Genomic DNA, 23,925 nt, shown 5'->3' on the forward strand with positions numbered 1-23,925 from the left:
CACTCACAATCACACACTCCATCTAACGCGGAGAACGCGGTGCAACCATTTGTTCTATGCCAATCATGGATTCACTTTCCTCGTGTTTAGTAGTAACATTTATCTAAAACTTATGAATAGCTTCTAGAGGACAGAGGAGCCCAGCCCGGTTTCCCCAGATGCCGCGGTGCACCGAGCAGGAGCAGAGGCCACGCGGGAGCCGGGTGTGCGGGTGGGTACCGGCCGCGCCCCTGCTCGGAGGCGGCGACTCCCTCCCCCGCCTTACTCACACCGTGCCTCAGTTTCCCCGTCAGTGCAGCGGACAAGACAATGCCGAGGTCCCAGGCGGGCGGCAGGATCCAATTAGTCCGTGTAAAATGAGAGGCATCTGGCTTCTCCCGGGCACCCCGCAGCCTGCCCCGCCTCTTAGTGGCTAAAGGCAGGGAGCCCCTGAGTCCCAGCGCGGCTGGGGGCTCTCAGCAGTTCTGGCCGAGCTCCCTCCCGCCCGCGTCGCCTGGCCTCGAACCGCTGCACCGCGGGCGGCCCCGACGGGTTCCCGACCTCCCGCTGGGGACACCTGTCCCGCCGCCCGGCCCTTCCCCGCCTCCCGCGCCTCCGCCCCAGGGGAGCTCCGGGACAGGCCCACCTAGGCAGCCTGCCGGCGCAGACCCAGCGAGGGAAGGCCAGTCTCGGGCCTCCAACCGGACACGCGCTCCCCATTCCGGGCTCTCCCACGTCTGCACACTCCAGCCCAGCCACGCGGAGTGGCTTCCAGAACCTGCCCTGCGGCCCCGCTTTGCCAACACCCCACCCACCCCGTGGGCATGATCATCCTCACTGCAGGACCCTGCCGGGGCCTGGGGTCCGTGGGAAGCCGGCTCAGAAGTGAGACCCTGGCCCCCTGCTTACAGGGAAAAGGGCTCCATCCTCCGAGCGCTTCCTGACCACAGCGCCTCCAGCCTCCAGGGCTGGGCGGCCCAGGCTCAGCTGGGTTCACTCCAGCTTTGCCCCTCTCGCCCGTGCGGGGTAGGGGCGCGCTTGTTAGGTCATCTCCCCACAACTCTCCTGGAAGAAAATGCCACCCCCATCTCTTTCACTCCCTCCTATACATGGAGCCACCATGCTCTGCCCTGTGGGTTCTGGGGCTCGCCCCCTCCCCACCCTAGCGACCGCCCCTCCCCAGTGCAGCCCAAGGTCGGGGGGGAGCAGATCACTTTGGGAAGCAGGTGGATGTTAAGAAGAAACAAAAAGTGGGGAGTAACCACTTGGCAGCCTTCATAGGAATCCTTTTCTGATTACAGCCACAGCAAACCACGGGCTGTTGACTTAGCGTTTCTGAGCTGCTAATTAGAGAAGGAAATTCTATCTACTCACCCCCAAAGGGCAAGTGAACAGGGCCACTAGCACAGCTTTTGTGGCAGGGCCTAGCCTTTGGGGCAATCAGAGGGCACAGTCTGTTCTCTTTGCCTCCTCTCCATCAACCCTAGCAAAAGCCAGACCCGTCCCACTGCTCCCTTCCACATCCCTCTGACTCCAACACTGAGTCCACTGACATTTCTCAAGCCAAGCGGCCCTCCTAGGTTGCTCTCAGAGGCTTCCTTCTCCCACGCCTACCCAGTTAGATGGAGCTCTTGAATGGATTACCACACTTTTAACCACCTCTATATAAGATAACTGCTTTTTCATCCCCAAATAAAAGTTTTATTGAATCTTAATGGTAAAATCTACTGTTTAGGGGGAACAGCAGATAACTCATCATACATTTTGGATGCAATTCTTTTGACTTTTTGAAAAACTGCTTTTAATAGGTGAACTATGTTTTTAGTTGTATAAGAAATTAAGAAAAAGACTGGAAAAAATAAAAGGAACTCTATGATCAGTAATAGAGTATTATACCATATCCAATGGTTATATGCTTTTCTACAATTATCCCAGTAACCTGAATGTAGAGTTATTTTATTTATTATTATTATCATTTTAAGAGATGTCTCGCTATGTTGCCCAAGTTGTAGTGCAGCTTAGATATTCACAGGTGCAATCATAGAGAATGGAGGCCTTTAACTCCTGACCTCAAGTGATTCTCCTGCCTCAGGCTCTCGAGTAGCTGGGACTACAGGTACATGCCATCACTCTCCGCCTGATGCACAATTATAAAAAGGAATTAAACACTGCTGAGTTGGAGAAAATTGACTGTGATATTTTCAGTTTAGTTCAAGAAATTTTCATACTATAGAACAGACTGTCAATCATCAAGATTCTCTATTTTTTATTTTGTATAAAATAGGATTGTAGCTTCATCACATTATTTTCTGACACTAATTGTTTTCTCTATCCCTTTTATGGCCTTATTAAAACCAATATAGAAATACATCTCTAAGGCAACTATCAAGAACAACAGATTAGATAAAGGTATTCTGTGAAATAACCTTTGATTATAGTCACAACACATCAAGTTAAATTTTTAAAAATTTACATAATGCAATTGTGTCACGGTTTCCAAGAAGACCCCCAGGTTTGGTGAGTCACTAGAAGGACTCACAGGGCCTACCAAATAGTCATACTCAGGGCTTGGATTTATGACAAAGGATACAAAGCAAAATTAGCAAAGGGAAAAAGTGTATTTGGTAAAATCTGGAGGAAATCAGGCACAAACTTCCAGGAGTCTTTTCCTGTGGAGGTACCAGGATGTACTTAATTCCCTCAGCCTCAAAATTTGACAACACATGTGCAATGTTGTCTACCAGTACCAGAATCTCATTAGAGACTCAGCACTCAAGTTTTTATGGAGGCTAGTCACATAGGCTTCTCTCTCTCAAAGGTACTCAACTTCCAGACTCCCAGAAGGAAAGCAGCTATTCAGAGTAAACCGCATTGTTTATACAGTTTAGGACAGAGTGAACCACTCTTCTCAGTTAGGAAATAGTGGGGACTCTCCCAATTCCAAGGTCCCAAATGCCAGGCAGAGGCCAGCCATGCAAGCAGGCCTTTCTAAGGATGACAGTCTCATGCCCGCTTTATGAAATCTCTTCTGCACAGCAGTTATAGTCCCTACTTAATTTTTGTGGTTGTCTTTATATTTTATTTTAAATGCAAACAATATAATGATATAACACAGTACTGGTTTCAGTTGTTTGATCCATCTCAACTTGCAAGACTGGCTACCTTTTTGGCTTTTGTTGAATAACAGGTAGTTGTATGTAAGATACTATGGCAATATTAGGTAATTATAATTTTTCCTCATCTGATTAAACTTTCAATAAAATTGTTAGATAAAATAAGCATCATAATTTCTAATTTAAAATTAAAATTGTCTTAAATGGATGGTCCAGTTTCAATTCATATTGTGTCAAATTTCTATTTTTAATTGCAAAATAAGAAAATATTTAATCATTTTTATCAATTATTTTCTTGGCTAAATATTCAATTTAAATTATTTGCTTCACATATTTTTGTATACTTCAAATTTGGGAGATAATGCCCATATTCTGTTACTTTGACTTTTCATGATCTCCAGTGTTCAAGGTGTCAATATTAGTCTGCTTTTCATTACCATAAAAAAAAACCCTGAGGCTTAGTAATTCAAAAAGAGACTTATTTGGCTCACTACTCTGAAGCCTGTACAAGCAAGGCACCAGCATCTGCCCAGCTTCTGGTGAGGCCTCAGGAAGCTTTATTCATGGCAGAAGGTGCAGGGGGAGCAGGTGCCTCACATGGCAAGAGAGTAAGAGAGAAGAGAGCAAGAGAGAGCTGCCAGGTTCTTTCAAAAAACCAGTTGGCATGAACTACTGACTACTCCAGGGAGGGCACCAGGCCATTCATAAGGGTTCAGCCCCCATGACCAAAACAACTCCCATTAGGCTCCACCTCCAATACCAGGGATCATATTTCAACATGAGATGTGGAGGAGACAAACATCCAAACTGTATCAGAGACTATATCTTACTATAACATATGGCAATGGCATAAATGTGTATTGCTATATCTTGTAATACTTTTTCTTCAGTAGCTTTTCATACGTTTTAGTTAATATAATTTTATTTTTATTAATGTCAATTTAACTTAAATCTGAAAATATTTCGATTTCAAATTACATGTTGTTATGACCACTCAACTTTTAAAAGGCATCTACTTTTTATTAAGTAACAATCTGGGACAAATAGAGTGAATTTTACCAAAACCATATTTGATTTATTTTTCCCACTGGTATACATAATTTACTATTATTACATATAATTTGCTTATAATTTTTATTTGAAGGCTCACTGACCATCATTTGGATAGAGCTTTGTCCAGCAATGATAAGTGTAGTTATCTGTGACCTTTTAGTCTGGCATTGGATCCTCATTTTCAGACAAATGAGGGGAGGTGGGATTCACATATAGTAGAAATGCCATAAGTAGGAGAGAGACTCATAGCAGCTGAGGTCAGGAGGTTACCTACAGGGCCTTAAAAGCCATTGGAATTTTTCTTTTATTCTGAGACAGGAATCTATTGGAAAGATTTGGACAGGCAAGTGAATAACTGAGGACCCCTGAGGTTGATTTGAGCTCCTAATAAAAAAAGAGGAAAAAGAGGGAAACGTTCCTCAGTGTAGAATTGACCACTGCCAGCCTCACTCACATATCCACTGCTTTCTTGAGACTTCAGCAGGTTGTTAAGCATCGCCGAATTATCAGCAGATGACTGAATGGTGGGCTAAAACTGTCGTCTAGTAACAGAATATCTATTTGGCAGGAAGATAACACCTGCTGTGTCCTTAACTGGATTCAGTAATAAATAGGAATATGTACACATGAGGAAAAGAAGGTGAATTGTGTATGAGGTGATATTTTTCCAAGTGTATGTTAGAGTTAGATATTATTGAAAATTTAATAATAAGGTGATTTACAAAATCAGTAACAAAAATACTTTATCAGGTGTGTGAGACAACTTCAACAAGAAGTCGCTGTAACCCTAAAAAAACCATCTATGTCGGGCTGGGCACGGTGGCTCACGCCTGTAATCACAGCACTTTGGGAGGCCAAGGTAGGCAGATTACGAGGTCAAGAGATTGAGACCATCCTGGCCAACATGGTGAAACCCCCGTCTCTACCAAAAATAAAAAAAAATTAGCCTGGCGTTGTGGCGTACGCCTGTAGTCCCAGCTACTCGGGAGGCTGAGGTAGGAGAATCACGTGAACTCGGGAGACAGAGGTTTGCAGCGAGCCGAGATCATGCCGCTGCACTCCAGCCTGGCGACAGAGTGAGACTCCATCTAAAAAAAATAAAATTAAAAAAAAAAACCATCTATGTCAGAGACTTCCCTAGAGGTTACATTATGTGACCACATTAATTTAGAAAAAGGGACACAGGAGTTATTTCAAATCAGAAGTCAGATATGTGTGAAATTTAACATGTCAACAGTTAATCTGTAGCTGGTTAAACAATATAAAGTGTTTTAAGATACTAATTTCAGAAGACAGCTTTCTTTTGTATCTTCATTATAACTGATTTTATTAAAATTTTAGTATCTTTATAGTGACTTTCATTATGCCTTTTTTCTTATAATTACATACATTTTTTTCTTATAATACCCCTAGAAAAGTTAAGAATTATGTATCATTCCTCACAAAAGTTGAGTGACTTTTTTTCCTGTTAAACAGTATGTTTAAGTGACTTCTTTATTGCCAGCATAAGGCAAGCCAGATTAAATCAGAGGAGAATGTTTCATGGAATGTTCCAGAAATTATCTTATTTTTATCTTCACTTTTGTGAATAGATATAGAATCTGTGCCTGTTTATTTCACGGATTTCAGGTTAACCATTACAGAAAGGCCATGATACTGTTCTTCAAAATGCAAATGTTTTATGTTAATTTACAAACTGTTTGAAAAGTTGGACATTTCCTTTATTTTAAAAAATTTAAAATTGTAAAAGCATATTAATATTTAGATTATGTATTGTGTATACATTCAAAACAGAGAATTAAGAAACTTACCTGAGGCTAGGAGTGGAGGTGGGAGCCTATAGTCTCAGCAACTGAAGAGGCTGAGGTAGCAGGATGACCTGAGCTCAGGGGGTTGAGGCTGCAGTGAGCCACAGTTGTGCCACTTTATTCCAGCCTGAGTGACAGAGTGAGATCCTGTCTCAAAAAAAAAAAAAAAAAGAAAGAAAGAAAAAGAAAGAAAGAAAGAAAATTCTCTTAATCTTGCCATTAGATTTTTAAAAACAACTTTAGTGAGATATAAATCACATATACTGCTCACCCATTTAAAGTATACAACTAAGTGTATCTTAGTATACACACAGAGTTGTGTAAACTTCACCACAATCAATTCTAGTGCGTCTTCACCACCCTGAAAAGAAACCCTGCATCCTTACTTTTTGTCTCCACAGATTTGCCTGTTCTGGACATTTCATATAAATAGAGTCATTCCTTGACGACTGGCTTCTTTCTCTTAGCATAATGTTTTCAGAGTTCAATTGTACTGTGGCACGTATCAGTACTTCATTTTTTTTATTCTTGAATAATATTCTACTGTATGGCTATACCAGTTATTCATTCATCACTTGATGGATGTTTAGGTTGTTTTCACTTTTTGGCTATTATTTTCAATGCTGCTATGAACATTCATTTACAAGTTATTGTATGGACATATGTTTGTATCTCCCTACCACTGGACTTTGTCCTCAGGGTTAATTGAGCTGATTTCACCATCTCTCTTCCCTATTCATGCTGTCTTTCCTGCTTTTTCAGTTTCTGTTCATTTAGCCTCATTCATTCAGACCTGCCACACAATATTTCTTGCTCTGACTGTTCTGAGTCTGACCTTATGCTTCAACACTTATTTTCTAGTCTGTGCAAAACAATTGCACCCTTAATTCTACATTGCTTTTAGTTTTTTTTCATGGGAGATAATTTTATCTTACTGTAAATTTGCTTAAGAGGAGAATAATATGTGAAATACATGTCACTTACGTTTGTATAAATCAAAAATAGTTTAGCTTAACAGTTGTTAGAATACAATTAAATATTTATACCACACCGATATTTTCTTTTTTTGAGACATTGATGTAGTAAAGCTTTTATTTTGTGTATTTGAAGCAACTAAACACAAAATTAAGACCACTGAAGTCTTACAGAGAAAAATTGTTCAATCAAATGCTCATGTTTTTTCACTATGAAAACAAACCTAAATTTGCCTTCTTTCATTGTGCAACCAGAACTGAGATTTATGGGTTGACACCACTTTACCATCTGAAAACCTCTGGCTGCAGCTTTTCTGAGATGCCACATAACATAACTTTCATCTGCTCATCAGCGTGCTTGTTAAAGCAGCCCAACATAGACAGTTGCTGCAAATGAATTGATTTGCAAAACTTTGACTTAGCAATAGAGTCTGATATTTTCAGGTCAGTGGCTTTAGCCTGCCTCTGATTGTCATGTAAGTTATATACCACTCAATCCAGGAGGTGCTATTTGCATTGTAGCACATGGTCATTGCCCACTAAGTAGTACAGAGAGAAAAGTAATCTGTAAATTATTGTAAGTAGAAAAAGGCACTGTTGTCTACTGGAACTGGTGAAGGTTCTATGAAGTACTGAAGATGTACTGGGCCTCATCCCATTTGCTGTAATTTTTAGTGGCATGAAGAATGATTCAGTGCAGGTATAGACCACTTTCATTGGCCATGTCACCAGAACATAAAATATAATAAAAATAATGATGCCAATAGCAAATATTATACACACACATATGTATAGATAGCTCAGTACATGACACATATTCTTCTGGTACTTTACATATATCCCACCATTAAATCTTTCCAGCATCCCTGTGTAGTAGATACTATTTTCTTCATTTTATAGATTTTTATATAAATTTTTATATGTAATTCTATATTTACATATATATTTTCTAAAAGACACAGAAAGTTAATTTGCTCACGGTCATACAGCTATTAACTGCTGGAGCTGAGATTCAGACCGAGGCATTCTGGCTTTTGTGAAGATACTTCCTCTCAAACTATTCCATGAAACATCTGGTTGCCACCTAAAGCATCATATTAATTTCTATAATTACTGGCATAGCCGGGGTCATTTACATCTGTAAATATTTAAAACTGTAGTTGAGGCCTCTTGATGTGAGGTGAAGGTGGAGGAGAAAACAGTTTGTGGGGGGAGCAATCAGTGAGCTGGAGCATGGTGCTACTTGGCTCCTGATATAAATAATAACAATGTGAAAGAAGAAGGCCAACAGGAAGGAGAAAAAGGAGGAGGAGAAAGAAGAAGAAAAGAAGAAGAAGAAGAGGAGGAGGAGGAGGAAGAAAGAAAGAAATGAAAGAAAGAAAGAAAGAACATTTGAAAGATACTGATCAAAAGAAAGTGAAGATGAAGGTGAAGATGATCATGATGGTGAGGAAGGAGAGGAAGAAGAAGGACAAGATGACTCACAGAACACTGATGGATTCCAACTTAAAAAATTATGCCCAGTCTCTAGGAGAAAGTTGTAGTCTTTTTTTTTCCCCCTCTTGTGCTCAGTTGGCCTTTTTTTTGTTGAGGTCTTTCATATCTGCACCATGGTTCTCAACTTATTTTGGGAGGAAATAGCTTGAGCAGAATACTATGGAAAAATAACCTCCACTCCTTTCTGTTTCACATTTACTTTTGTTCCTCCTTGTACCTCAACAAACACTGTATGGAATCAACAGCATGAAGCTGTGTGGGGGAAAACAAAACAAAATGAAATAACCTTTTTTTTTTCACTCTTCACTCTGCTAAAAGCTAGAGGGTGCCTAGGCTCCCAAGAAATAGTGCATAACAATACATTTTTCTCCCCACCTCTCTCTGTATATTAGGCTGACAGTATATCCTGTCTGTATGTGAATAAGAACAGTGAGCATTCTCCAACATGTGTCTATCTAATTTCTCTTGTTTAAAAACAGAAAAAAAAACCTCTAAAAAATGGAGTTATAGAAGGTCAGCCCAGGGTGGGTTTGAGATGTTTTGGTGGGCTAAACGGGCAATTTTATAACATGGCTTCTCCTATGCCTTGTTTGTGATGTTTAATGAATATCCTTGCAGTTTAAGATGACACTTTTAAAATACATTGTCTCCTAATGATGGCTTGAACTCTGTTGCTAAACAGGAGAATCAGGATCTCATTTGGAATTGACATTGTCTATTGTAGTTTTGTTTTTGTTTATTTTTAAATTTTCTTTTTGTTTTACTGGAAAGATGCTAGTTTTAAATGTTAAAAGTATACAAGTTATTACAATCAAACTAGATGTGTACACACAAAGAAAATTAAATAAGTTGATGTAACGGTGCTTGTAATTCAAAAATATAAAGGTTTATCTTATGTTAATTTCCTATCTTTTCCCATTTTACAAATTTTGTAAGTTGAGTATTTATCTAATCAAATATAATTTAAACACAGAAAAATAGAATAATGTTGTGTTCTGGTCCTAGAGCAGGATTGGTAAACTTTTCTGTAAAGGATCAGATAGTATTATGTGAGGCTTTGTGAGCAATAGGATCTCTGTTGCAACAACTCAACTCTCTAGTTACAGTACAAAAGTAACCATAAACAATATGCAGATTGAAGAGGTGTGGCTGTGTTTCGATAAAATTTAGTTACAAAAGCAGGTGATGGGCAGGTTTGTACTAGATTATAAGTAGAGTTTATTATTATGATTATTTGTTTTAGTTGCAAGAAGCAAAGGATCAAATCACAGATGTTACAGGAGGTGCTGAAAAGACTCAAGACTACATGCAAAAGCATAAGTTAAAGTAACTTGAGTATTTATAAAGCAAATAAACAATGTAGTATGATAATTGTATGAGTGAGGATAATAAGCGCATCTGTGTGAAGCCAAGGATAAAGTTCACCTTTAAGCTATTTTGAAATGCATAATTTTTGTACGTTATTCCTAAATTTTGCACATTACCCACAAAATATAGGTAGAAAAATGATACAGTCTCCCAATCATCTATTTTTCAACTCTTTAAGAATTTACATAATCATAGATGCTTAGAAATTATGTGATATTTTAGAAATGTATCTTTGAGGATAATTATTTTAAAATCTACCTTTTAGGCTTAATATAAAAAATTTCCAAGTAAAAATTCCAGTCAAAAATCAAGTGGAAAAAAATGAACAGTTTGAGAAAAACCGGTTAAGTCCAAGTTTGGTAAGTCAATTTTTAAATTTCTGTCATACTGAATAGAAATTTTATTTTTCTAGTAAGACAGATTGAATATCCCTTATCCAAAATGCTTGAGACCAGAAATGTTTCAAATTTTGTATTCTTTTGATTTTAGAATATTTGTGTATACTTAATGAAAGATCTTAGGAATGAGACCCAAGTCTAAACACAAAATTCACTTACATTTCATATATACCTTATACACATAGCCCGAATTTTATACAGGATTTTATAAAATAATTTTGTGCATGAAACAAAGTTTTGACTGTGTTTTGCTGTTGTTCTGTCACATGAGGTCAAATGTGGAATTTTCCACTTGGGGCATTATGTCTGCATTCAAACAGTGTCAGATTTTGGAGCTTCAGGTTTTTAGAGTAGAGATTTTCAACCCATAGTACAGAAGCTCCTCAACTTATGATGGGGTTACATCCCAATAAAGCCATTGTAAATTGAAAGCATTGTAAGATGAAAATGTATTTAATATACCCAACCTACCAAACATCACAGCCTGGCCTACCTTAAACATTATCCGATCACTTACATTAGCCTACTGGTGGGCAAAATCGTCTAACACAAAGTCTTATAATAAAGTATTATATATCCCATGTACTGCGTATTGCCAACCTGGGAAAAGATCAGGATTCAAAATTCAAAATTCAGACTGTGTTGAAATTGCAATAGTTTCACACCATGGTGAAGTCAAAAAATTACAAGTTGAACCATTGTAAGTTGGGGGTCTATCAGTATATAAGAATATTTCAGACAATGTGAAAAGTCTCATTGATAAAAAAATATTTTATTCATATTGATACTACTTGCCACTAGTAGTGCAATCTTCTTGACTTCATAGAATAAGTTGACTGAATTCATAAAGTTAATGATTTTGATAAAAGTCACATTTTAATAAAAGAGATTATGATAGTCTAAAATCAATATTTTATACCTACTTTTTTTTTTTTTTTTTTTGAGACAGAGTCTCGCTCTGTCGCCCAGGCTGGAGGGCAGTGGCGCCATCTCGGCTCACTGCGAGCTCCTCCTCCCGGGTTCACGCCATTCTCCTGCCTCAGCCTCCCGAGTAGGTGGGACTACAGGTGCACGCCACCGTGCCCAGCTAATTTTTTGTATTTTTAGTAGAGACGGGGTTTCACCATGTTAGCCAGGACGGTCTCGATCTCCTGACCTCGTGATCCACCTGCCTCGGCCTCCCAAAGTGCTGGGATTACAGGCGTGAGCCACCACGCCTGGCCTATATATACATTTTAAAAAAATTTATTCATGCATCGAGGGAAAGTTGGGTTATTTCCATCTTTTGGCCATTAGAAATAATGCTGCTAATGGATACTACTTCATTATACAAGTATTTTTTCCCCTACAGCATGTGTTTTTCTTACTGCAAGTTAAAAAAAAAAGAAAAGAGATGCCAGTGAAAAAGTAGAAATGGGTGCTCCAGGAGGGCCTTAGGGAGTAACATAGTCCTCCTAACATAATGTTCAGAAAGTAATCTTTTTCCATTCACCTGTGTTCATCAGCCTTTCAAAGCCTTAACAGTCCAATCGCAGAAAAGATGGATACATACTCTAGGATATCAATTTATTGATGTAGAGTGAAAACTATATAAATGATAACAAAGCAAAACAGAATTCTCCTGACATTCATGCTTTCCTTTGTAGGAATGAAGGTCAGAAAATTGTGTCATGAATACTAAATTGGAGCAATGAGGTAGATGCTCCTACTAACGAGTTTCCTTAAGTCACAATAGGAAGATTTATGCAATTTTATCATTCCGATTAAACCTATCAGGGAAACTAGAACTTTTGTAAGAACACTCACGACCTATTAAGCCTATGCAAAAATAATGAAGGTTTTTCTGTACATTTTCATAGAAATAAATTAGGAATATTGCATAGAATTATTAGCGACTTTAAAATCTACCCTATGAATTAAAAATCTAATAAGAGACAGCTTTCAACAAACTCAATCAATAGCCTCTATTTTCTGCAGAAAGTTCTCATTTCATGAATTGCTAAGCCAGAGACTACCTTAAGAAATTTTATAGATACAGTTTAGAGGTGAAGAATCTAGATTGGGAAGGAGAGACAACCCTCCAGGGCTAAGCAGGGAGCTCAGATCACTGCGCACTCCACAGATCAACTCATTGCCTGAGGCAACAGTGGCTTCTGCCAGTAAATAAGGATCAAGTATACACCTGACTGCATTGGCTGCAGCTGGCTCTTACTCGTAAGTGTCATCTATTGGCTTATAGTGGAACTGTACAGTTCAATATAAAACCTGCTGACAGGGTAAACAAGGCTAAGAAGCAAAGCCGAAAGACTCTACCTAACATTCTCTACAGTCACACTCCCTAGGGTGGGAGAGGGGAAAGAAAAAAAAGCAATAATTTTATAGGGAAAGAAAGAAAAAAAAAATCCTACCCTCACAAAAATAATTTAAAAAGTTAGAAGTATCAGCATTTCCAGATGAGATGGGACTAGCATAAGAATTCTGGCATGAGGCTTGGTGCAGTGGCTCATGCCTGTAATCCCAGCACTTTGGGAGGCCGTGGCCTCAAGCGGATCACTTGAGGTCAGAAGTTCGAGAACAGCCTGACCAAAATGGAGAAACCCTGTCTCTACTAAAAATACAAAAATTAGCTGGGCATGGTGGTGCATGCCTGTAATCCCAGCTCCTTGGGAGGCTGAGGCAGTAGAATTGCTTGAATCTGGGAGGCAGAGGTTGTGGTGAGCTGAGATCGTACCATTGCACTCCAGCGTGGGCAACAAGAGCAAAACTCCGCCTCAAAAAAAAAAAAAAAAGAATTCTGGCATGAAAAATCTGAATGTAGTGTGACACTACCAAAGGATCACACCAGCTTTCCAGTGTTCTCTAACCAAAATGGAAACTCAGAAATGACAGATAAAGAATTCAAAGCATGGATTGCAAGGAGATCCAAGACAAGGATTAAAATCAACCCAAAGAAACTTCTAAAGCAATCCAGGAAATGAAAGGAGACAATCAACTTAAAAAGAAATCAGTCAGAGCTTCTGGAATTGAAAAACTCATGTAAAGAATTTCAAAATATAACTGAAATCTTTATCAATAGACTGGACCAAGCAGAAGAAAGAATTTCAGAGCTTGAAGACCAGTCTTTTGAACTAACCTAGTCAGATAAAAAAATAGAGAAAAAAGAATATTAAAAGTAAATAGGGTTCTTGAGAAATTTGGGATTATGTAACATAACCACACCTATGAATTATTAGTGTTCCTGAGGGAGAAGGAGAAAAGTAAACAACTTGGGACACATATTTGAGGAAATAATTCAAGAAAACATTCCTAATTTTGATAGAGGTGGTCATCCAAATAAAGAAATCCAGAGAACACCTGTGAGATACTATGCAAAACAAATATCATCAAGGCATATAGTCATTGGACTGTCCATGGTCAATGCTAAAGAAAAACATTTTAAAGGCTGAGAAGGTAAACCTGTCAGGCTAATAGTGGACTTCTCAGCTGAAACGTTGCAAGCCACGAGGGATGGGGGCCTATTTTCAGCATTCATAAATAAAAGAAATTCCAACCAAGAATTAAATATCCTACCAAACTAAGCTTCATAACTGAAAGAGAAATAAAATCTTTTCCAGACAAGCAAGTGTTAAGGGAATTTGTTACCATTAGACAAGACTTACAAGAGATCCCTAAAGGACTTCTAAACATGGAAATGAAAGAATGATACCTGCTACCACAAAAGCATAGTTAATTTACGTAGCTCACAGACCCTATAAAGTAACCATGCAATAAAAACTACATAGCAACCAGCTATCAACTTTACTATAGGACCAAAACTTCACATATCAATATTAACCTTTAATATCAACAGTCCAAATGCCTCCATTTAAAAGGCACAGTGTAGCAAATTGGATAAAAAAAAATCGAGACCCATCTCTTTGTTGTCTTCAAGAGATCCGTCTCACACATAATGACACCCATAGGCTTGAAGTAAAGGGTTGGTGAAAGAGCTATTATGCAAACAGAACACCAAAAAGAGCAGGGGTGATGATTCTTAGATAAAACAGACTTTAAAACAACAGCAGTAAGAAAGGACAAAAAAAGGCATTACATAATGATAAAAGGTTTAATTCAACAAGGAGACTTAACTGTTCTAAATGTATATGCACCCAACACTGGAGCACCCACATTCATAAAATGAGAAGTTCTAGACCTACAAAAAGACTTGTACAGCCACATAATCAATAGTGGAGGACTTCAACACCCCACTGACAGCATTAGATCATCAAGGCAGGAAACTAACAAATTCTAGACCAAAATTGTACACCTGATCAACCGAACCTAATAGACATCTACAGAGTACTCAGTTCATCAACCCCAGAATATACATGTTTCTTTTCTGCACACAGAACATTCTCCAAGATCAACCACATTTTTGGTCATAAAGGAAGTCTCAATAAATTAGAAAAATACAAATCATGCCAATGATACTTTCTGATCACAATGGAATAAAAATAGAAATTAGTACCAAGATAATCTCTCAAAACTACATGATTATATGAAAATGAAAAAACCTGCTCCTGAATGACTTTTGGGTAAACAACAAAATTAAGGCAGAAATAAAAAAAAAATCCATGCAATAAATTATAACAAAGACACAATATACCAAAATCAGTGGGATACAGCAAAAGCAGTATTAAGAGGAAAGTTTGTAGCCCTAAATACCTACATCAAAAAGTTAGAAAGATCTCAAATTAACAATTGAACATCACACCTAGAGGAACTAGGAAAATAAGAACAAACTAGCCCCAAAGCTACCAGAAGAAAAGAAAGAAGAGCAAAACTGAATGCAAATGGAAACCCAAAAATCCATACAAATAATTAATGAAACCACAAGTTGGGTCTTTGAAAGGATAGAAAATCAACAGACAACCAGCTAGCTGAACAAACAGAAAAAGAAGATCCAAACCAGCACAATCAGAAATGACAAAGATGACATTACAACCAATCCCACAGAAATGCAAAAGATTCTCAGCAACGATTATGAATACCTCTATGCAAACAAACTAAAAAATCTACAGGAAATGGGTACATTCCTGGGAACCCACAACCTCCTAAGACTGAATCAGGAAGAAATTGAAACCCTGAACAAACCAATATTGAGTTCCATAATTGAATCAGTAATTTAAAAAACTTAAAAACTCCAACCAAAAAAAGCCACAAACTTGACGGATTCACAGCTGAATTCTACCAGATGTACAAAGAAGAGCTGGTGCCAATTCTGCTGAACCTAATCCCAAAAAAATCAAGGAGGTGGGACTCCTCCCTAAATCAATCTACAAAGACAGTGTCATCCTGTTACCAAAATCTTGCAAAGACATAGCTATACAAGAAAACTACAGGTCAATATCCCTGATGAACATAGATGCAAAAATCCTCAAACAAATACTAATGAATGCAGCAGCAAATCAAGAAGTTAATTCTCCATGATCAAGTAGGCTGTATTCCTGAGGTGCAAGGTTAGTTCAACAAATGTTAATCAATAAATGTGATTCACCACATAAACAGGATTAAAACAAGAAACCACAGTTTATCTCCATAGATGTGGACAAAGCTTTTGATACAATCCAACATGCTTTCATGATAAAACCCCTCAACAATCTAGACATCAAAGGAACAAACCTCAAAATATTAAGAGCTATCTATGACAGACTTATAGCCATCATCATGCTGAATGGGCAAAAGCTGGAAGCATTCCCCTTGAGAGTAAGACAAGGATATCATCTCTCACCACTCCTATTCAACATAGTACTGTAAGTCCTAGCCAGAGCAATCAGGCAAGAGAAAGAAATTAAAGGCATCCATATAGGAAAAGAGGAAGTCAAACTCTCTTCACTGATGATATGATTCTATACCTAGAGAACCCTGAAGACTCTGCTAAAAGGCTCCTGGAACTGTTCAATGATTTTAATTTCAGCAAAGTTTCAGGATACAAAATCAATGTACAAAAATTAGTAGCATTTATATATACCAGTAACATTCAAGCTCAGAGCCAAATCAAGAATGCAATCCCATTTACGATGTCCATTAAAAAATACTTAGGAATACATCTAACTGAGGAAGTTAATATCTCTACTAAGAGAACTACAAAACATTGCTGAAAGAAATCAGAGATGACACAAATAAATGGGAAAACATTCATGCTCATGGATTGGAAGAATCACTATTGCCCAAAACAATCTATAAGTTCAATGCTATTTCTATCAAACTACCAATGCCATTTTTCACAGAATTAGGAAAAAACTGTTCTAATCCTCATATGGAACCGAGAAAGAGCCCATATAGCCGAAGAAGTCCTAAGCAAAAAGAACAAAGTTTAAGGCATTACATGACCCGACTTTGTACTATATCCTATCAGGCTACATTAACCAGAACAACATGATACCGGCACAAAAATAGACACATAGACCACTGGAACAGTATAGAGACCCAAGAAATAAAGATGCACACCTCTAATCATCTGATCTACAACAGATTAGACAAAAATAAATAATGGGGAAAAGACTTCCTATTCAATAAAAGGTGCTGGCATAACTGGCTAGCCATGTGCAGAAGAATGAAACTGGACCCCCTTAGCTTATACCATATACAAACATTAACTCAAGATGGATTAAAGATTTAAATGTAAGATTTCAAACTATAAGAGTCCTAGGAGAAAACCTAGAAAATACCATTCTATACATTGGCCTTAAGAAAGAATTTGGAGTCCTCAAAACATTTGAAACAGAAACAAAAATTGACAAGTGGAACCTAATTAAACTAAAGAGCTTCTGCACAGCAAAATAAACTATCAACACTGTAAACGCACAACCTACAAAATGGGATAAAATATTTGCAAACTATGCATCTGAAAAAGGTCTAATATCCAGAATCTATAAGGAGCCTAAACAATTCAACAAGCAAAAAGCAAATGACCCCATTAAAAAGTGGGCAAAAGATGTAAAGAGACAGTTCTCAAAAAAGACACAGGGTGGCCAACAAACATATGAAAAAAAAATACTCAACCTCATTAATCATCAGAGAAATGCAAATCGAAACCATGGTGAGATATCATCAGGATGGCTATTATTAAAAAGTCAAAAAATGACAGATGCTGGCAAGGCGGTAGAGAAAAGGGAATGCTTATACACTGCTGGTGGGAGTGTAATTTAGTTCAGCCACTATAGAAAGCTGTTTGAAGATTTCTCAAAAAACTTAGAACTAGCATTCAACCCAGCAATTCCATTACTGAGTATATATACAAAAGAAAATAAACCATTCTTCCAAAAAGACATATGCACTCCTATGTTCATGGCAGCACGTTTCACAATAGCAAAGACATGGAATAAACCTAGGTGCCCATCAATGGTGAACTGGATAAAGAAAATGTGGTACATATACACTATGGCCATAAAAAAGAATGAAATCATGTTTTCTTGCAGCAACATGGATGCAGCTGGATGCCATTATCCTAAGCAAATTAACATAAAATTAACAGAAAACTAAATACTGCATGCTCTTACTTGTAAGTGGCAGCTAAACATTGGGTACTCATAGACATAAAGGTGGCAATAATAAACACTGGGGACTACTAAATGGCAGAGGGCAAGAAGTGGGCAATGTGTGAAAAACTAACTCTTGGGTGCTATGCTTAGTACCTGGGTGATGGAATCAATCACAATGCAAACCTCAGCATCATGCAATACAGCCACGTAACAAACCTGCACGTGGGCTCCCTGAATCTAAAACACAAGTTGAAATTATTTTAAAAAATTGTCTTCCAATATACGAACATGAACTCTCTCTCCATGTATTTAAATATTCTGATTCATCAGTGTTTTGTAGTTTTTCACATATATATCCTGTATGTATTTTGTTACATGTATAATTGTAAATACCTCATTATTTTTTGATGCTATTGTAAACTGTATTTTTTAAAATTTCAAATTCGAATTGCTCTTTATTGACATATAGGAAAGAAATGGGCTTTTGTATATTAATCTTGTATTTTGAGACCTTGCTAAACTCACTTATTTGTTCCAGAAGTTTGTATTGTTCTTGTTGTCGATTGGATTTCCTAGTTATTCAATAAAGTAATTTGTGAATAAAGACAGTTTTATTTTTTAAAAAGTCAAGTACTATTATTACTCTTGGCACATTCTGGCACTCGGTAAATTAACTTTCTTTGATTGTGATCTCTGGTATTACCACTAGAGGGCGCCTTGAGACAAACTATCCTGTACAGTTTTTTCATTACAGAAGGGCATCCTTGTGAAATGGGGAATGATTAACATAGGCATGAGGGGAATTGTAATTCACAAAGTAGTTAAAAATAACACCTTGCTCAGCCTGAGGGGGATGTGTGCAAGACAGAGGGCAGGCCCCACCTCTGGTGCTGTGGTTACAATGCTAGGAGCTAACTGCCTTTGAAGATGGCTTTAGTTCTTTTTGATTACCAGCTCAGCTCTCTCATTCTTCTCTAAAATTGTTGCTCTGAATTATTCCTCAATGTCAAATGCTTAATTTTTCCCAGGTAATGAGTGACTTGTACAAGGGTGCTGAAAAAAAATACTTGAAAACGTCTTTGAGGGCTAATTTTTAAAATATCTAAATTGGTTTCCTAAACACAATCATTTCTGGCTTTTAAAAAAGTCTTGGTTTATTAATTACATATATTTAAGAAGTAAAACATGATATATTGACATATTTATACATAGTGAAATGGTTATTGTAGTCAAGTAAATTAACATATTCATCATCCCACATACTCTTTAAATGCAAGTATTTCTAAATGGCATCCCCAAGAATCTTATCAGCAGAGCCATTCCAGAAGGCAGCAAGTGTTACCTGTTAAGACTCAGGCAAGAGAAAAATGTAGGCAAGGTGATAGGGCCGGGAGAAAAGATTGAGGGATTTATCCAGTCAAGACCTGCTCAGTATCAGTCACTTTTAAGAGTGTCAAAATGCATCTGAAACAGTGACCATCTTAAAATCGGCAATTCTAATTCAGCATGGTGTTGCATTGAATAGAGATGTATGACATGCATGGAGTATGGGGAATCTGAGAGTAATCTGCATGGCTCCTGGAAGAGCCCCTGAGTCATGGCCATTGAAGTGTTTGAAGTGGGGCCTAAGATTTGCCTTGGAAGGTGCCCAGCCTACAATGTCTGACTGGGGAAAAGCATGGCTAAAGTACCCAGGCATGGAGGGACGCATTCAGAGCACTGAAAGCCGTTGGTGTGGCTAGAATTTAGGGCACCTGTTATGGAGAGATAGTAAATAAAACTGGGCAAGTAGACCAGAGCCAGACTGGGGCACAATTGTGTCACACTAAGCTAGATGGGAAGGAACTGAGACATTTCAAGCAGGAAGATGAGGAAATAAGATTTCCTTTAGAAAACAGCTACTCTGGTTTGAGAGAGTGAGACTGAATTCAAGGATTTCATATAGGAGGATGGTGCAATAATCCAGGAAGAAAGAGTGTACGCCTCAGCTAGGACAGGTCAGTAGATCTGGAGGGAAACTACTGGAATCAAGAGATTGTGGAGACAAAATCAATAGTATTCACTAGGCATTTGGGGGTGGGAGCAATGGTTTTGGCTTCTGTCTTGAGAAAATAAGATATGGAAAAAGTGTATTTGGAGAAAGAGAGAAACTGGCTTGAGATTTTCTGAGATAGAGATGCAAGTGGAACACCTAGGTGGATATGTGGTTAAAATAAAAAAAAGGTCTAGACCAGTAAAAAAGTAATTTGAACAGCAGAAGCCACATATATGACTTTAAATGTTCTAGGAGCCACGTTATAAAAATTAAAAATAAATAGGTAACACCAATTTTGTAACACAGTATAGCCAAAATATTGTGATGTCAGCAAGTAATCAAAAACAGCAATTTTTCTTTTTCCCTAATTTGTTGGAAGTACTTGTTTCTTAGAAATCCTCCTAGAAATACATGTACTTCTTTTTTTTATTATTATTATAATACTTTAACACCATGGAATAGTATGCAGCCATAAAAAAGGATGAGTTCATGTCCTTTGTAGGGACATGGATGAAGCTGGAAACCATCATTCTGAGCAAACTATCGCAAGGACAGAAAACCAAACACCGCATGTTCTCACTCATAGGTGGGAACTGAACAACGAGAACACTTGGACACAGGGTGGGGAACATCACGCACTGGGGTGCAGGGAGGGGGGAAGGATGGCATTAATAGAAATACCTATTGTAAATGATGAGTTAATGGGGGCAGCACACCAACATGGCACATGTATACATATGCAACAAACCTGCACGTTGTGCATTTCTTTAGAACAATTTTAAAACTACAATCGCATACAGTAGACAAGCTCTGACATATTTTTGGTGTTAAAACACTATTTAATAAAAAATTTTACTTACACTTATCTTTTGCAATCTTCACAGAACTCATGAGAGGCAAGCAGAGGCCAGTACCAGACATCTGGTAGAGAAGGTAGAGAAAGAGTGGACCAGAGCTTTTTTCAGACTCATCCTACTGGGTTAGTCCTACAGTCATCTTGTGTTGGACACTCAAGGATTTTTGTTTCTGTTTTTGTTTTAGAAACGGTCTCGCTGTGTCACCCAGGCTGGAGTGCAGTGGCTCAATCTTGGCTCACTGCAGCCTTGACTTCCCGGGCTCCAGAGATTCTCCTACTTCAGCCTCCTGAGTTGTGGGAACCACAGGTGTGTGCCACCATGCTCAGCTAGTTTTTGTATGTTTGGTAGGGACAGGGTTTCACCATGATGCCCAGACTGGTCTTGAACTCCTGAGCTCAAGCAATCCACCCACCTCAGCTTCCCAAAAGTGCTGGGATTACAGGTGTGAGCCACCACGCCAGACCTAGAAATCTTAATAATAGGTTAGGTCTTAAGGGAAAAATTACTCCAAGGGAAGACTTAGTCATCCCTACCTCAAGCCTACTGACTTCAAAAAATGGCGTGAAGAACTACTGATTCAAGGTTAGTTATATTACCTTTTTCCTTTGCATTTCATCTTTACGATATAATTCTTGTTTTTAATTTGGTGAAATACTGAGTTGTTTCATTGACTTAGGCGTGGTAAGTAAAAGTTATAATAATTTGTATTGATAAAGAAAGCAAATAAAAGTTTTATAGTTTTTTTCAGTCCCTGGAGCTCTCATTTTCAAGAGATAAACATTTGTTAACTTTTATTCAGTAAATGTAACATTTATTGTAACTGACACATTTTCAATTTCTTTAAAAGCTGCATTAAAGCTAAATTTTAGAAATGGAATATTATTGTTTGATAACTAAAGACAGACTTTGAGATGCTTTGGCTTTCTAATTGATTTTACTTTGGTTCATAATATTTTTGTTTTCCAGTGCCAGCCTCAGTTTTCCACCCCTAATCGTAAGTGAATGATTGACATCCAAACATTTAACCACATACGGATGTCTATTATTTAAAGGAATCCAAAATAAATACTTTTATGAATTAAGTAAACATATAGCACTAAATAGATTTTTTAAGTTAAAATTTTGTCATTTCCTTACCTAACAGTACATCCTTAATTGTGATTGTCACCTACAGCATTTTAGTTTCAATTTTTGTAAAATATATCTATTGCTAGCCAATTACTCAAGTTTTTAAATAGTTAAATCAAACAATGATTTGAATTTTAAAAATAAGTTCCCTTATGTCTTTATATGTTGCCATCACTTGAATGATTGATGACTAAGACGGCAAAGTTATCAAGAGTCTTTAAATAGCAATTACAACCAAACAATCAATTACATTATTTCTACCCAGAATTCCATAAAGCCACACAGTGTCCCCATCTCCCCCGGAGATGTGCCAGGAACCTTCCAGTCCAGTCATGTGATTTCACTCATATTAAGAATCAATTTCTGGGGATCTCAAGATGAATCTAACAACAACAAACTACACTAATTGTAGAGTTGGTAAGTAAAAGAAATATAGTTCAACTATGCTTGACCCAGTTTAAGATATTTGTCTAATGTTTGGTCATTTTTTGACTAGAGGGAAATTTATTTATTTATTTCTGGATACAGGGTCTTACTCTGTCACCCAGCCTGGAGTGCAGTGGCATAATCACAGCTCACTACAGCCTGGACTTCCTGGGCTCAGGTGATCCTCCCACCTCAGCCTGCCAAGTAGCTGGGACTACAGGTGTGTGCCACCATGCCTAGTTCATTTTTTGTATTTTTGTATTTTGGGTTTCATTATGTTGCCCAGGCTGGTCCTGAACTCCTGGGCTCAAGTTATCCAGTGCCTCAGTCTCCCAAAGAGCTCAGATTACAGGTGTGGGCCACTACACCTGGCAGGACAGTTCTAAAAACTGGGTGCAGTGGTGTGCATCTGTAGCCCAGCTACTTGGGAGGCTGGGGAGGCAAGATCACTTGAGCGCAAGAGTTCAAGGCTGTAGTGTGACATAACCTCACCTGTGAATAGCTACTGCACTCCGGCCTGAGCAATACAGAGAGACCCTGTCTAAAAAAATCTACAAAAGCCATAAAAGATTTATTTGAACAAAAATAAATAGCAAGTAGTTTTCTTCATGTATCACTGTTATTAAAATGTCCATTTCAATCAATGCACATTGGCTTACAGTTTTGATGGCGATTTCATAATCTCCTTAATGCAGAGAATAGTAGTGCATGCCTGTGTTAAGTGAGACCTCAACCTGGTTTCCTTGTCTGGCTTCATGTGCTAACAAATCATAGAAGAGAAAATCTAAGGTTTCCTAAAGAACGTCCCTAACTAAATAGCTTAAAAGAGTACACATTAAATGATTGCTTTAATACCAAAATTATAAGATCCTAGCTAGCTGATATTTTATTTTGTTAGCTTAGTTTTATTTTTCTGAAAAAAATGAGATGATCTCATTTGGGTCTAAGTGCTTCAGAGTCCTAAAATTGTACTACTGGATACAAAAAGAAAATAAATGTTAAACACTTCTGTAAATTGTTAAGCATGTTGCAAATATAAAATGTTCTCACTAGTTCTTACCAGAAAAATCAGAAATGTATCATTTTACAAGATGATGATGAAAAATGTGTAAATGCAAAGCCAGGTGTGGTAGCTCATGCCTTCCCAGCACTTGGGGAGGCCAAAGCAGGTGGGTCACCTGAGGTCAGGAGTTTGAGACCAGCCTGGCCAACATGCTGGAACCCCGTCTCTACTAAAATACAAAAATTAGCTGGATGTGGTGGCACGTGCCTGTAATCCCAGCTATTCAGGAGGCTGAGGCAGGAAAATTACTTGAACCCGGGAGGCGGAGGTTGCAGTGAGCCGAGATCATGCCACTGGACTCCAGCCTGGGTGACAAAGCGAGACTCCATCTCAAAAAGAAGAAAAAAATATGCAAATGCAGGGGCCATGCAAAGGAAGGTTTTTGAGGAAATATTTTAAGTTTTTTGAGAGAAAGAGGTGTTTTTAGCGTTTATAGGTAAGTCCAAAAAGTTTATTTAAAACTTAATGTATTAGTTCCAAGTACCATTGTGGTAATGTAAACCACAATGGTTTCCTTGTGGGGCATTAGTTTTCCAAATCATGTTAGACTTAATAAAAGACATTAAAATGCACAATTCTATCAAGATACAAAGATATGTCTCTATAATCCCTGCAGAATGCCTTCAAAGATTTCTTATATAGTTGTTGCTAACAAAATTCTTAGAGTTACAGAAGGTAGGTGACTTTTGGGGTTGCTAGGAAT

At 38.1% G+C, this 23,925-nt stretch overlaps 1 pseudogene across 1 annotated transcript in view, besides 1 other annotated feature; it reads right to left on the bottom strand.

The window, feature by feature from the left end:
- Positions 319 to 818: an enhancer, noted in NCBI's record as "H3K4me1 hESC enhancer chr13:24477599-24478098 (GRCh37/hg19 assembly coordinates)". NCBI's record gives its function as "activates a minimal SCP1, AML or CMV promoter by ChIP-STARR-seq in naive H9 embryonic stem cells {active_cell/tissue: H9 hESC(naive)}" and the evidence as "EXISTENCE:reporter gene assay evidence [ECO:0000049][PMID:30033119]".
- Positions 4,143 to 23,925, bottom strand: part of ANKRD20A19P (ankyrin repeat domain 20 family member A19, pseudogene) — a 42,032-nt pseudogene continuing 22,249 nt past the window's right edge. Inside the window, exons 4-5 of the transcript NR_073430.1 lie at positions 5,957 to 6,100; positions 4,143 to 5,233 (exon numbers count right to left, since the gene is read on the bottom strand). The product of NR_073430.1 is annotated as an ankyrin repeat domain 20 family member A19, pseudogene (transcript). The remainder of the gene's footprint in view (positions 5,234 to 5,956; positions 6,101 to 23,925) is intronic.

Source organism: Homo sapiens, chromosome 13 (genome assembly GCF_000001405.40).
Source record: "Homo sapiens chromosome 13, GRCh38.p14 Primary Assembly".
NCBI classification, from domain to species: domain Eukaryota; kingdom Metazoa; phylum Chordata; class Mammalia; order Primates; family Hominidae; genus Homo; species Homo sapiens.